This window comes from Homo sapiens, chromosome 7, assembly GCF_000001405.40.
Source record: "Homo sapiens chromosome 7, GRCh38.p14 Primary Assembly".
NCBI classification, from domain to species: domain Eukaryota; kingdom Metazoa; phylum Chordata; class Mammalia; order Primates; family Hominidae; genus Homo; species Homo sapiens.
Window position 1 is genome coordinate 81,704,453 of NC_000007.14, and position 16,416 is coordinate 81,720,868.

The 16,416-nt window shown below is 33.2% G+C and overlaps 1 protein-coding gene across 2 annotated transcripts in view; it reads right to left on the bottom strand.

The window, feature by feature from the left end:
• HGF (hepatocyte growth factor) overlaps positions 1 to 16,416 on the bottom strand; it is a 71,038-nt gene that overhangs the window by 5,443 nt on the left and 49,179 nt on the right. For both annotated transcript variants that reach the window (NM_001010932.3, NM_000601.6), the window contains exons 10-17: positions 16,293 to 16,395; positions 12,780 to 12,913; positions 7,029 to 7,067; positions 5,695 to 5,791; positions 2,838 to 2,912; positions 1,835 to 1,975; positions 1,195 to 1,301; positions 938 to 1,083 (exon numbers count right to left, since the gene is read on the bottom strand). In NM_001010932.3, the coding sequence (NP_001010932.1) occupies positions 938 to 1,083; positions 1,195 to 1,301; positions 1,835 to 1,975; positions 2,838 to 2,912; positions 5,695 to 5,791; positions 7,029 to 7,067; positions 12,780 to 12,913; positions 16,293 to 16,395 (842 nt within the window). The remainder of the gene's footprint in view (positions 1 to 937; positions 1,084 to 1,194; positions 1,302 to 1,834; positions 1,976 to 2,837; positions 2,913 to 5,694; positions 5,792 to 7,028; positions 7,068 to 12,779; positions 12,914 to 16,292; positions 16,396 to 16,416) is intronic.

The following is a 16,416-nucleotide window of genomic DNA, read 5'->3' on the forward strand; positions in this document are numbered from 1 at the left end:
TTCATGATTTACTAGAAAGGCAACAAATTTGAAACTGGTTATAAACATATAATCTGTTTCTAACCATATCATTTTTAAGCAGTTCTAAAAACTCAGTAAACAGTAAACATTTTCTCTTCTTTTCAGAAATAAAATCTCAGAGCAAGGTGTATAACACTTGCATTTCAATACATATTTATGTTCCATACTTACAGCATGCATTTTCCTACATATCAAAGGACATTTCACTATCATTGAACTCATTTCATCTTTTGCCACACACAGCATTCCACAATCCCACAGCCCTGAAGCTTGGAGAACATGTCTCTCACATTCAAAATCTAACTAAACTAACAGTTTAACAGCTTGTCTATGTAAAATAGGGATAGGAACATTGCCAAGCCGAAATAACAGTTGCCTCACAAATGAAATGTCCAAGCTCGTAAAGTCACAAACTTTGACCTTTAGGCTTTTTAAAATAGAATCTGTTTAAACACATACACAGAGCGAGAGAGCAAAAGAGGGAACAGCTTACCCAAAAAGAGATTTAAAAGTTTAAAGCCAGGCATCTCTGAATGATATAATTAGTGGAGTTCACTTCGAGATAATTTGGGAAGATAAAATAAATTTAGAAAAACATTAGAAAAATGCAAACCATTGATCTAACTGATTTGGATACTTCTCATTTGAATAGCTCTCCCTTGGAGTTCCGGCTCTACACACTTATTATTTTTTGAGTGACAAATGTCATCATAGTTTGCTGCTAATAAAACATTGATTATCTCACTGCTTAGTTGAAAGAAATGCAGAATATTACAGAGTTAATTTTCCCAATTCCTCTTTCCTAGAATAGGTTGGTATACAATATTTTTGATTTGAGAAAAATAAACAGAAAAAAATAAACATGAAACACTAAGCTATGAATCACATACTCCTTATTAAAGAACTTCCTTTTTACCTCACATGGTCCTGATCCAATCTTTTCAGCCCCAGCACATATTTCAGACTCATTCAGAGTCACCTTCCCTCGATGATGCTGGCTGCATTTCTCATTTCCCATTATATAGAGATGTGCCACTCGTAATAGGCCATCATAGTTGATCACTAGATTGATGCAAAAAACATACAATAAGGTGAGAAAAGTAAGAAACAAAGACAAATGTGTTCTTTTTAAAATAAAATAAATATGGCCTCATCTTTTGAAAACTAGCTTACATCCAGTGTAGCCCCAGCCATAAACACTGCAACTGGTCTTTTCAGGAATTGTGCATCCATAATTAGGTAAATCAATCGTACTAACAAAATCATCCAGGACAGCAGGCCTGAAAACACAAAATACAATGGTAAGTACTCTCAACTGGATTCAACACAAAATTAACATATTAAATGTAGTGTTCATGTTTAATATGGCATTTACAGAGAATGAAGTCCTGTTTCTTAAAAAAAAAAAAAAAAAGGTGGGAATGTCCAAATGTAATGATGACATTTGGAATAGGTAGTAAAGAAATGAGTCATGTATTTGCCAATATTTAAGAATAAATGGTCAATGCTATTTTTTAAAATAATTATTTTACATTTGAAAGTTATCAAATAACTGCTGAGTTTCCATTTTAAAACAGACTGATCAGACTGTTGGCCCAATGTTAGTTATTCATTTTTTTACAGTTTTGCAAATACCTTTCTCTCTATACTCACAGAGAGACCCAAACGCACGCATATATACATATATATACAGCATGTAACATATGTTTATAATGCATCTGTATGAGAGAGAACGAACTGCCACACAGCTGAAGAAAATGCTCCAACAATTCTTGTCCAGGTGAAAAATACAAAATCTTCTAAAGTAACTAACCTGGCAAGCTTCATTAAAACCAGATCTGATCCTTCAGGGCCATATACCAGCTGGGAAACATTGAGAACCTGTTTGCATTTCTCATCTCCTCTTCCGTGGACATCATGAATTCCAAGCCAAGCTTCATAATCTTTCAAGTCTCTGTTTTGAAGGAAAAAAATTTAAATGTAAAACATAATAATTCCAAATTCTGTAGTATTATTCCTATCTATTGTTATTTTAGACTATTAAGGCACATAACCTAAATTTAAAATTTGATTCATAGTATAATAAAGAACAACACATTTGTTATGGCAGATTCTGAATACTACAAACATACATAAGCAGAAAGAGGCTTTAAATTGCTGAGATTCTAAATGACTATTTTAGAAACTTGCTTATGCTTGCTAGAAGTCACTTGTGAAAAATGCTCAGGTAAAGCACTTTACATGAATTATAATTTTTTCTGCAAATTTTGCTTTGTTTATGTCAGCTGTGTATATATTTGGTTTGGTAACAGGGGTTGAAGTTTTCTACAAACAAAATCAAAGTGACCTTGCTGAGAAGCAGGAAGGAAGTTTACAAATGCTGCCTCTTTATCTTTTCCTTAGGCTAATTTTCATTGAAAATTATGCCCAGGATGATCCTGAGGCTGACTCTACAGGAGAAAGAAGTAGTGAGGACTGAAAAAAGCCTATTGACAATTTAGAAAAAAAAAAGAATTATATCTAGAAATACAGGGTACAAGTAGAAAGTTGGGATATAAAACATTTACATAATTCTAGCAAAATTTTCCCCAACTGAGGGTAACACTAATTGTGAAAAGAGGTGAACTGAAGTAGTGTCTTGTAAATATCTGTGAAGTCAAAGTAAGTTTTGTAAGCCAAATTCTAAAAATGAAATAATTTGTTCACCCCATTTGTGAATCTCTGTAAAATGAATACATATTATAACCTTAAGAGCAAAGTGGAAGACATACACATTTTAAAGGCTCAAAATAATACTAGTTTTAAAAACACTTTACCGAGAAGGGAAACACTGTCGTGCAGTAAGAACCCAACTCTCCTTTATCAATGATCCTCCGCAGATATGTTTATTTCTGTGAAAAAGAGGAAAGAGAAACAAGTAACATCTGTGCAGAAAGAGTGACTGCCAATTAATGCAAAGCCTGTGGCTCCATTTGTTAAAAATAAATACACTGCAGAGGAAAATATAGAAATTAACCCAACTGGAATAAAATGAGAAGTTCTTTTATCTGAAGGGTGATATTTGGTGATTGTAGCGTTAGCTTTTTTTTCATAATGTGACTATAAATTTATGAAATCAATTTGACTTTTGTGTAGTCTAAAGTTATTACACATCAATAGCCATCCCGAACACACATATTCGTGTGTATGTGCATCTATCCTTGTGAGGAACGTATGTGCTACAAATATAGGATAATTATAATTTCTTAAAAATGTGAATCTATTTTAAATTCAGTGTTTGCTTATTAAAAATGCAAAGTTGAGTTCTTGTTTGAACCCTGAAAACCATCTAGTGGTAGCAATTTTATTCGTGCACTATTTCCTTCTTCTACTACCATTATGTAGTTTTGATATATTAACATAAAATGTAACTGAATCTGAATAAATTACTTTGTCCAGTATAAGATCAGGAATATAATATTTCATCTCTAAAGTAAAACAATTTTGCAAGGCAAATCATTTAGGAAATTGTAAAATATTTGCAGAGTATGATGAGTACTAGTACATTTTTTTGATGATATCCAAAATCTGTAAATCCATTTTTTTTGGCAGAGACATGGAAAAAGCACAACTTTTCATAATTTACATTTCCAAAGAGTACAGATGTTCAGTGCTTCAGAGGGTAATACTAGAAGATTCCCAGACTGAGACCACAGTTATTTATGGCCTTTACCACACAGGAGGATAAGAATATATATTGACTTTTAATTTCTATCCTTTTCAGTATGAGTTTTGGAAGAATAACTAAGCAGCTGTTGTTGCTAAGAACTTGGATTTAAAAAGGAAAAAAACTAAAAATTTACAGTACTCTAATCTGATGGAAAAATAGCTTCACCTGCTTTTCCAACAATGGAGATGACCAAAGCAGTATCCTTGTGAATTCTCTTACTGGAAAAAATAACTTAGAAGTATTAATATATGTCTTCTTTTATCCTCTGGGGTTATAAGATAAGCAAAGAATCACCAATTAACTCAAATGTGGATTATTGAAAGATTTCTCCTTCCTTCCTTCTTTTTTTTTTTTTTTTTTTTTTTTTTTTGAGACAGAGTCTCGCTCAGTAGCTGGGATTACAGGCATGTGCCACCATGCCCGGCTAATTTTTGTATTTTTAGTAGAGATGGGTTTTACCACGTTGGCCAGGCTGCTCTTGAACTCCTGACCTCAAGTGATACACCTGCCTCAGCCTCCCAAACTGCTGGGATTACAGGTGTGAGCCACCACACCCAGCCTCTTGAAAGATTTTCTATAATTAAGAAAATTAAACACTCCAACAGAATTCTAAAGTCTTTACTAAATCCTCATACTGCACACTCAGCTTTAATATTCTGGTTAGTTTCACAATTCTATTTTAGTACTACACACCTAGGACAGCTATACTACAATTATTGGCATAAATATTTATAAAATCTGATAAGCCATTCCTTGAGAAAAGGGTATACTAAAAAAAGAACTTTAGGCCATCTCCTACAACATTGTGGTCATCTAAAGTCATATATATCAAATTATATAAACTCTTGCTTTCCAATAATTGGTTTATTCATAAAAGGACTTCTGTTTCAAGTTGTCTCTATTCTAATGTCACTGTGATTTAATAATAGTAACAGACATTCTTTTTCTCTACTCTAGGAGGCTAGCGGTAAGGGAACAGGAGGGTATTCTAAAAGAGGGGATATTTAGGTTGAAATTTGAAGGAGAAGGAATTTTCAGGCATAAAACATGGAGGAAGAAAGCCACAGTGTGTTGTGGGAACAACAGCATAAAGGCTTAGAGGAAGAAACGTGAGGTATCTAGAAAACAAGAGACAATGTGGTTCAAATTCAATGTATCTTGGGGTGTGTTGCATGGTAAGGTTCTGATAGAGATAGCCAAAGACATAAATATTTTAGCATTCCAATTAACATACAGAATAATATATGTAGTATATGAAAGTTGTAAGATCAGATTTTAAGTTAACTTATATTTTCAGTATTTAATTCTTATGACATAATTATTAAGCATAATTTTCTCTAACAATATGATTTGCAAAGTGATTTTATGTAGAATATGTCATTGATTCTTAAGAGCATTGAGAAATAGACATGTCAAGAATTTTGTATCCCCACTGATTATTATAATATCAAGACTATTTAACTATTGGCCTTTTTGTAAAGATAAAATGCTCTAGAATTTAAAATTACCATTTTTCATTTGATTGACAAGGAAAAAGTCAGAAATTAAAAACAAATATAAATGTTTTGACATGATCATGCATAAACATATTAGAAAATAAACCCATAATATCCTAGATTGGAAATTTAATAACAAGTATCATAACTACTATGGTAATATTAAGGTTTCAATAGGTCCTCCGTATTTTGCTTAATCGGAACCAAAGTGTCTCTTAGAATCAGGGACATTGCCAACACATATGGGACCTTTGTGAAGATTTAAAAAGGCACTACCTCTGGAGGCACAAATTATAGTCCAGAGCTTACAGTCTGGCAAGCAGATGTGATCAGCTTCCTCTTTTACTGCCTCACCCAGGTGCCCTGTGGAGGGTACAACCTTCAGGACCACATGTGTCCATATTTCTGGGAATAGGACTCTCTTGTACATATTCTGGATATGCATGACTTGCATCTATTAATAATTACCTGTATCTCAAACTAACCATCCATCCTATGTTTGTTCGTGTTGGAATCCCATTTACAACTCGCAATTGTTTCGTTTTGGCACAAGATATTACGGGATCTGAAACAGGACCAAACATAACATTTTTTAAAATAAGAATTTGAAATAATCAGTGCCTCTTAGTTTTCTTAAATGCAATGATAATTACACAAATGTAACTATTCTTATTGTGTCCAAAGAACAGTTTGGTGAAAGAGAAGTTTAATATGACCGCAGCATTATATTAAGTCCTTAACACTTGCCATCTTCATCTAAGAAGTTGAGTAACTCAGAAAAACAAATAAACTCAAAGCAGACAGGATTGCCATGAGAGTGACAATGGCTTTGCTCACAATACACTAAGACCAAGCTCCTCAGGTCTAATCCCTCACCACCCTCAACATAAAATAAACCAAAGTTATTTACAATGGTTATTTCTAATGGTCAGTAGAAATCAATAGATTCAGTGAAAAAAACAAAACCAAGCTTTACTTGGATATTACTTCTGAATTTGTACAGTTAGATTGTAGATTTATTCAATATGTCTTACCAACATTTGATTTATTGAAATCATATCCAAATGATATAATTATTATTTTCAAATCATTATGTCCAAAGACATAATATAAAATTTATTGGAGTAAATGTTTTCCTGACCCTCCTCTGTGCTCCTCGCCTTATCCCCTCTACTTCTGCCCATGGTCTAGAATAGATATCCATTTGCTTCCTGAGCCTGGGGCACAGCAGGTGGTATTCTAAATCAAAAACACTTGAGTAACTTCCTTCAGCTCAAGAGATATGTGAAAATAAAATACAAGTGGCCCCCAACAGATTCTTAAACTGAGGATTAACTGAATATCATAGACTGTGTCATCTTGTGCCCACTTGACTGTAGGGCATGCAGAGAAGTTTACAAATAGAGTAGAATAGAGGCACTGAATAACTTTCCAACTTTCAGGTTTCATTCTCCTGAATTCAGCATCCTAATTTTATTAAATCATGGTATATATAAAGGTGGTCCATTATACGCATTGTGCCCCAAATTAAAAGTAAATATAAACACTCTTTTCGAAATCACATATACCATCTTATAGATTTTTTGCAAGAGAATTGAATTTTTATATTCAGTATGCAGTTGCCTTTGAAACTCCTTTACACCTATGCATAGAAAAATATATTTTAAAAAGTAAAAATAAATAGATTAACTTCTTTTTATAATGGAAGCTAATATAGATAATTTTCTTTGAAAGAAATAATGACACTTCTGACACACAGAGAGAGACTCAGAATATACTTTATATTGTGAAATATTACTTACGGTCTAAATTGACTATTGTAGGTGTGGTATCACCTTCACCTGTAAAAATAAATGTATAGATAAATACACAATTCATATATGCATATATCTGTTATATAAAACCAAATATATATTAAAATCCAAGTATCAATGAATTCAGTAATTTACTAAAATTTTTGTTGTTGTTGTTTTGTTTTGTTTTGAGACAGAGTCTCATTCTGTCACCCAGGCTGGAGTCCAGTGGTGCTATCTCAGCTCACTGCAACCTCCCCCTCTCAGGTTCAAGCGATTCTCCTGACTCAGCCTCCCAAGTAGCTGGAACCACAGGCACACACCACCACACCCAGCTACTTTTTGTATTTTTAGTAGAGACGGGATTTCGCCATGTGGGCCAGGCTGGTCTCAAACTCCTGACCTCAAATGATCCACCTGCCTCAGCCTCCCAAAGTGCTAGGATTATAGGCATGAGCCACCACACCTGGCCAATTTACTGAAATTCTTGACATTTTATTCAGAGATAAAATGTAAACTCTTTTGAGTAATTATACATCACGTTTACTGGATAATATTGTAAGTATATGCCCTCTGGTACTAGGTGATATGAGCAGAGCCCTATTTTATGACTGTGGAGGCTCTCAGGTGTGTGTTTTGATGATCATTGGCCATTTGAATTACATTGCCTTCATCAAGGAGCTGCCTCGATCCACCAAGATGTCCAACATCCTACACCATGAACATTCCATTGAATAGCACTCGTGTTCATTATTGTCTACTTGGACTCTTCATATTGATAGGCCATTTGCTTCTGTAATTTGAATCATTTAATTTTTTTTCTGAAAACTTTTAGTTTTATATGGTTAAAGATAATTGCAACTACACCAACTTCATAAATCTCTGCAAGGATTCTAGAAGATAGATATCAATGTCACTAATGGAAAAAGAGGAATAATACAATATAATTATGCTTTGTTGCTTGAATATTTCAAGGGTTGATTTTTCCAGATGCGAGTAAAAAAATATGGAAAAAAGAGAACACTGAAAACTACAAATTAATTCTAATTAAAACCTGTAGCTTACTACTTTTTCATCTCTACTGGGGCTTAATTGCCACAAATAAGAGAAAGTCTTGGAAGATGCAAGGATTTTGAAATACTTATGCTGTAATGAATGAGACACAAGACATTTCCTGGAGCTTAATGTGTGACTATTCAGAATTGATGGCATAGAGTTCAGTCAGGCACTGTTTAGACCCAGATGGTTGTCAATCCCTGGAAATGCCCTGAGCTCAAATAAGCCAGCAACAAACCAATAATGTATATGGATTCCTTTGTAATAGATGCCAATGTGATTGTTATTTATGAGGATAGTTGTGAGAATTAATATATACTTATTTAAGTTCATTTTTCAGATCTAGATATTTTAAATGAATAGGTTAATGGTAAACATACAAAATTCATCATTTCTCTTTCCCTGTAGCTTATCCTAGAGGAGGGTTTGTCAGTCAGCTGAGGTCAGAGTTTTAGTTCATTAAGTATGAGTTAAGATTGAGGCGGACTATGGTAACAAAACTTCAAGGATATTGGTTTTCCACGTAAGTCAAATACTTGAAAATGTTAAATAAGTAGATATTTATTTCTTATTTTGTGAGGAGAAAGACTGGTTATTTGTTCTATCTTGTATATTAAGTCTCTTATTTCTAAGCATTAAGCTAATAGGTCAACAAAATGCTTAGTTAACTCTTGTATCTTACAATATATTTAGTTTTAAAAATTTGTAGATATGGCCTTGCGTGGTGGCTCGTGCCTGCCTGTAATCCCAGCATTCTGGGAGGCCGAGGCGGATGGATCACAAGGTCAGGAGTTCAAGACCAGTCTGGCCAACACAGTGAAAACCTGGATCTACTAAAAATACAAAAAATCAGCCAGGTGTGGTGGCAGACACCTGTAATCCCAGCTCCTTGGGAGGCTGAGGCAGGAGAATCGCTTAAACCTGGGAGGCAGAGTTTGCAGTGAGCCGAAATTGCTCCACTGCACTCCAGCCTGGGCAACAGTGTGGGCAGCAGTGTGATACTCTGTCTCAAAAAAAAAAAAAAATTTGTAGACACTATACATTTTGGGTTTTAATAATTAATAGTAATGTATATGTTTTGCTTTCTCTAATCCAGTATTTCTCACACTTTAGCATAAACTGAAATACGTTTTAAAATTAAATTTCTGGGGATTCTGGGTTGGTGGCCGGATGCATCCATTTAACAAGCATCCTAGGTTCTTCTGTTGCATGCCTGGAGTAAAACTTGAAAAACTACTTTCTATGCCTTTTCCATTTCACTGCCAAATACTATTCTCACTTTTCTTCCTTTACTTTCACCACTGTCTATACTACACTATCTATACCACACTACTTTCAGACTCATGTCTACAAAAATATATGTGATACAATACTTATTTTTTATTGGTTCAACTTAAATTTGAAGAAAGAAAACATGTCAATGATAAAAGTTTTACCTACGGAAGGGTAGGGGTGTGTGTGCGTGTGTGTGTGTGTGTGTGTGTGTGTGTGTGTGTGTGTGTATGGCCTCAGAACCAAACATGGACTTTTTCTGAAAACATAAAGAAAACTTTCTCCCACTCTTCTTAAAGCTTTAACTCAATTTCAAAAGTTTACGAACATCATGTATTTCTCCATGAAGAAATCGATGTTCACATTCTCATTTTATATATTGTTAATATATACATATTACATGATTATATTGCTTTGTAATTATTTCCATAAATGTCTCCCTTCTATACTATGAACTATTTAAAATTAAGAAGAAGTGTTTGTATTTTTATAAACATAGTATGTTATATATGGCTTTGTACACAATAGCAGCTCAATTAACAATAATGAATGAACAAATAAAAACAGAGATGGAAGTTAAGGTTTTGACTCTTTACTATGCAACAGACACTGTTCACAATAGTCCCATATAATAGGTACTTTTATTATAAAATATTGCAAATACAAATATGAGTCCTAAGTGGGTTTGGTAACTTGCCCAAGGTACTTAAAAGTGATGGGTCTGGCATTCTTAGGAAGTCTGGATTGAAGTTCTTAACCACTACGCTCTTGGTAGTTAAGATTTTTCTAAAATAGTATACTAACTGTGTCTGTGTATACTCAATCATATAGGCACCTCTACATTTTTATGTTTGCATATTTGATAAACTTAAAAATATGTAAAATATTATTTTGTAAGCATGTTAAAAAAAAGAATAAAAACCTTTACATGTTTTGTAAAAGAATTTTACAGTGTGAAAATGATTTATACAGTCTCTGCAGTTATATAAATAATAAGAACTCAAATCTTCTAAAGATAAATATTATCACCCTTTCACCAGGGAGAAAATGTAAACAAATCCTGGCTATAAATATTAGTTAGAAAAATGACACTGTAAAAATCTTTATTAAAATTAATTTGTGGTATACATTGAAATAAAATGATTTATCTGCAATAGTATTTAATCAAATACTAGTAACCCCCTCAAGTCTTTCAACAGCACATTACTTTTAGTTTAAAAATATTAGTTGAAAAAATTTTTTGAAAACTTGTAAATTATTAGAGTCCTGGCTCCCTTGGTTTGTGATTATAAATGAAATCACAGTGCCTTGAGATACTATAGGGCATTTCACTCTTAACCATGCATATGTGCTAGATAGAGCTGCTGTGATTTTTAAAAATCTGGAAATCTGTAGAGGAAGCAAAATAACTTGTTTTAGAAGGCAGATAATTGCCTTTTTCCTTCTTCCTACACCATTATATATTCTATGAGCCTCCATTAGTCTTAACCATAGAGACTTAACAAAAACATAGTGCTATAAAACTGTACTTAGAAAAATAATAATCTTTTAATAATTTTTAAATATTTTTGTATGGCATTCTCTGAAAAAGTAGGTGTGTTTCTTTTAGTATTAACATTGAGCCTATGCCAACCTTAATATGGGAAAAGTGAAGAACATTAGGAAAACAAATTAATTTGAAAGGCTATGATCATGGCTGATAAAATGAAAATAAACTTATTAGAAATGCCATTTATTTGCAAACATATAATATATTTAGTTATTTATTATTATACAGAGTTTCCCAACCTATTAAAAATAGATGGAGCAGCTCCAAGTCTTAATTATAGGTAGACTTGATTAACATCATATTTTAAAAGTTTGCCTTTAATGCTAGAATTTCATAAAACATGACTGCTGTTTCCATTTAAGGTGAAATTTACCTCTTTAATTTGACATAAATTCTAGAAAAACACAGACTTCTGTTGTATTTCATTTTTTAAAAGCAACATTATTATTTCTTCAATTTAATCTCTTTTTAGAGTAGATATTTTTGCTGCTGTTCTCAAGGTACTTGCTACTACTAGCTTGTCTCACAAGAAAAACATTCTTAAAACAAAGTTTTTATCGAACTTATAAAAGTATTTCCTTTCTAAAGAGAAGGTGGTTTAACATTGTGGTAAAGGATGTTCGTTGTAAACATAGAGTTACAGATACATAGTATAGTAAAATGGTCTCTTTCTACTGACACAGCTTTATAAAAAGGCTTTTTCACTCAATAACATATTTAAGACGTACTTCCATCTCAATACGTATTACTAGACATCAGTGGTTACCAGTGGAAATGATTTTGCCCTCCAGGGGACATTGGCAATGTCTAGAGATAGTTTTGATTGTCACGACTTGGGGCAGGTGTCATGCTACTGGCATCTAGTGGATAGAGTCCAGGAATACTACTAAACATGCTACAATGCACAGAACAGCATCTACCCCAAAATGTGGGTGTGCGGAGGCCCAAAAATCCTGATCTATGTCAACATTATTACTGCTTTTGATACATTTTATCAAACTAACTTCCAAGCAGGATTTTGAATTCACACTGTAAGTAGCATAGAATTGAGACAGACTGATTACCCAGGTCCTCACTAATACTGGATATTTACAATCATTTTATTTGCCAACCTGACAGGTAGAAGTGACTTCTCATGTCTTAAACATTTTTTTCCTACGAATATGTTTTAATGTCTTTTCATTTATTTATTAGCTATATTTTTGAAGATTTATTTTCTACTTTTTTCTCCTGAATTCTCACATCTTTTTCTTACTGATATCTAGGGACTTTTTAATATGAATTATACCAGACATGTATTTTATATGAACTATGTCAAACATGTATTACATGTTTTTTATATAACTTTTACTTTATACACTAATATCTTTTTAACAAAGCCATCTGGGAATCAGATAACTGGGTGGAAAACTCCAGGCTCTTCTTTAGTCTTAAATTAAAGAACTGAGAAGGAAATAGAAGTACCACTAGTTCAGATCTGCTCACGGCTTTTTAGTGGGCTGGGAACTTTGCTGAGAGCTCTGCTATATTCAGAAGCTGAACAGGTAGTATTGGTATTGGGGGGTGGGGAGATCTTTCTAGCCCAGTCATATTAGAACTGTGGCCAATTAATGCTTTCGGAATCCCAATGGAAATCTTCTGAGGGAAGAGAATCTCCATTAAAATGTTAAAATTTCTTCTTATCTATACGAGAGATGGAGAGAGAGAAAGAGAGACCATGTGGTGTGTCTGTGTGTGTGTTGTGTACATTTGTGTGTGTTGCTCTCTGGAGAGCTTCCTCATTTGGGAATAAATGCCAGACCACCTATATTATTTACAACTTTTAGATGAAATGTAGTACATTTAAAATATTTCACAAGACACCAATCCCTAACTGTACTTACAACGAGAAATAGGGCAATAATCCCAAGGAATGAGTGGATTTCCCGTGTAGCACCAGGGTCCATGAGCATCATCATCTGGATTTCGGCAGTAATTCTCATTCAGCTTACTTGCATCTGGTTCCCAGAAGATATGACTGTGGAAACAACAGGCCTTGCACATCACAAGATGCTCATTCCATCCAAGAGACACAAAATATTACAAAAAGATATAATCTCAGCACATTACTTTCACTGTAGATACAGCATAACCTTTTACTTGGGATGAATTTTAGCTATTTTGTTTGAGGTCTGTTTGGTTGCTACTGTTGTTCCTACACTTTAGAAGCAGATTCTCTAACTTGGAAATATGGAAGAGGGCTCCATAATTGGCATATTAGGTTTTGTGATTTTGCCTCTATTTGGTAATCCCAGTGGCATGGTAATGATACTTCTGTGCATAGAAATAAGAAAAACATTGTCTAAAGCAAGCAGATGGCAAAGATTAAAACTATAAAATACATAAAAAATACAAGCTATTATACAAGTATTTTTTTACATTTTAGATACAAATGAAGCATCACTAGCCATATCACTATGACAGAGTACAAGAAGATATACTGAAATGAATAATGTGTTAATTAAATAATTAAAATTCTAAATTTTACTGATCAGTTACAAAATATTATTTTGACAGATAACCGAGCAATACTTTATTTCTAATTCACATCTTAACTAAATTTATTACAAAAGAAAAGCAAAGATTGTAAATTTACTGTAAATTATTTTATAAGGCCATTTTCATTCATGTAACATCAATATTTACATTTACCTCAATAACATGAATGAAGTCAATTCTACATGGCCACTTTGACTGATCATAAAAGTCATTAAAACTATTCATCTTACTGAACTTGTTTCCAGTTATTAATTGCTACCATGCTTGAATATAATTAATGTGTCATTTTAAATAAAATTTTAAAAAGCTTGAACATGGAAACTTGGACTATATTTCCAGACCAAGTTTCATTTTTCTGGACCAAGAATAACAGTAAACACATATAGTACTTATTACATGCCACATTGTGTTGTAGGTTCTTTGTAGATATAACCTTAGACCAATCTTATGAGATAGTCTTTAAGGTTATGCCATATTACATTTGTGGAAATTGAAATCCAGAGAGGAAAACTAATTGGTGTAATGTCACATGACTTGCAAACACTAGAGCTGGGGTTTGAACCCATGGCTATTTCAAGAGTCAGTGCTCAAAACCGCCATGCTCTGTCTCCTACTTACAAAGTTTGTCCTTAAGCCAAAATGGTACCATGTGACTTAATCCTTGATCAATTTCCTACAAATTGTTTCCAAAAGTCAAACCTAAACTTGATGAATTAAGTATTATTAGAGACCCATTGATAGTTTCTAAATAAATATATCACATATTTTCAGTGGTATGCTGGTAAAAGTTTACCAACTGGTACTTTGAGGTATGTGTACGGTGAGGATGAAGATGAGGAATCCTCGTCTGAAGTTGTTGCTGATTTCTGTAGTGTAAATACTTCTACCATGAAAATTTCAACCTTCTAGTGTAAAATCACTGAAGGCAACACTTTTGAAAGACGATGAGAACAATTCTCTCTCACAAGTCCATAAGAGCAATCCACCCCACCCACCACTGCATGTTTCTAAAAATGCTTTAAAAAATAGCAGTGCTGAAATTAGCATTTATTTTAATCATGCCAATTCTTACTTAAAATTATTTAATAAATCCTTTTAATCCTCAGGATAAAATTTAGATTTCTTAACTGAGCTTACAAGACTCTCTATATGGTGTTACCACTTTGTGAATTCCTTCTCTGTGGACATTGACCAAGTTACATTCTTTCAGTCTTACCAAAATTATTTCCTATATTCAAATAATCTAATGCTTTGGCCTTTGCACATGCAATTTCTTGTGTCTAATGTCCTCTTCCTCCTCTACTTCCCTTGCCCAGTTCCTACTCATCATGTACATCCCAGCTAATTTCCCTTCCTTTAAGAAGCCTTCCTGACCACTTACGTCTGAGTAGGCACTTCTTTGCATTCCCATAGCATAAAATATGCTATCTTTCATAGTTTTCATATGGCATTCCCTGTTTGCTTGCATCCCACACTAGAGTGGGAGATCTATAAGGACAGAAGTCTGCTGCTCTTTGAAGTCCTAGAACTCCAGTGTCAATATAGTAGCCACTGGCCACATATGGCTACTGAGAAATTGATTCAGTCCAAATTGACAGGCGCTGTAAGTGTAAACAGACACCAGATTTTGAATATGGAGCATGAGAATATAATGTAAAAGATATTTTTAATTATTTTGTATTAAATACATATTGAAATGAAAAACTGTAGATACAGTGGATTAAATAAAATATATTAAAATTAATTTTGCCTGTTTATTTTTACCTCTTTAAAAGTGGCTACTAGGAATTTAACAGAACATATGTCGCTTACATTTGTGAGCTGCATTGTCTTTATATTGGAGAGCATTATTTTAGAACTATCCTTTTGTGTGAAGTAAATTAACTGAAACAATATAATCCACTATTGAGTACATTTTGGAAGAGAATAAGGAACTTAAAGTTAAAAGACTGAAGCAAAGTCACTCCATCTCTCTGAGCCCTTAAATTCCTATCCACATATGAATCTTTCCTATAGGATTATGATGGTCAAATGGCATAACTCATGTAAAGCAGCCATGTTATAGGCACTTGATCAAATGACTGTAACTTGTTTTTTCTTTTATTCTAGTGCATATACTCTGGGATGTTTATGAAAAAATCTGCTTTAGGTCACAATTATGTGTCATACTTCTTTTGCAATTTTGTAAACACTAGCACTATTGCTAGGGTTGAGTGGGTGCTACCTTCTCTATGAGTATATCTATGGTAAAAATCTGTAATTCTCTAAAATTTGTAGATTTTTTCAACTACATATACATTCCTGTAATTACTGGAAAATTTTATGTATCAAAGCTACATAAGGAAACCTGTCATTACACATTTTTAATAGTTAAGGTTTAGTATTTTAGAAATTTAAATTATATGAGTGATTATTCATTGATTTTTCATAAACTATCAATTATTAAATATGAAAACAATAATCCCATAACATGCAATATTTCAAACACCAGATTTGCCACTTACTTATACACTGTCTTATTAAGTTATGTAACTATTGTGTCAATGTGACCGTATCCTCCTTGGAGGTTGGAACCAAAACATTATCCACTTTTTGTTGATGTTCCCCATGGTACCAATTACAGTACAGAACACATAGTAAATGCTCAATAAATATCCACTAACTTGAATTGCATATTTAAAAGTTTGCTACATAAAGAAACAATGTTATGATGAGTTGTAAAGAAAAACCAATCTAATGCTTTTATTAGCTTACCATGATATATAAAAGAATAGAAAGAAATAGCAATGTACATATCTAAATACACAGTCTGTTGGTATCACTACATTCTATATATTGAAAGGAAGAAATTTACACACCGATGTAAGTCTTCCATGTTCTTGTCCCACATTGAACATGTTAGTCCAGATCTTGTTTGGGATAAGTTGCCCATATAATTTTTGCCATTCCCACGATAACAATCTAGACATAAAATATACAGAA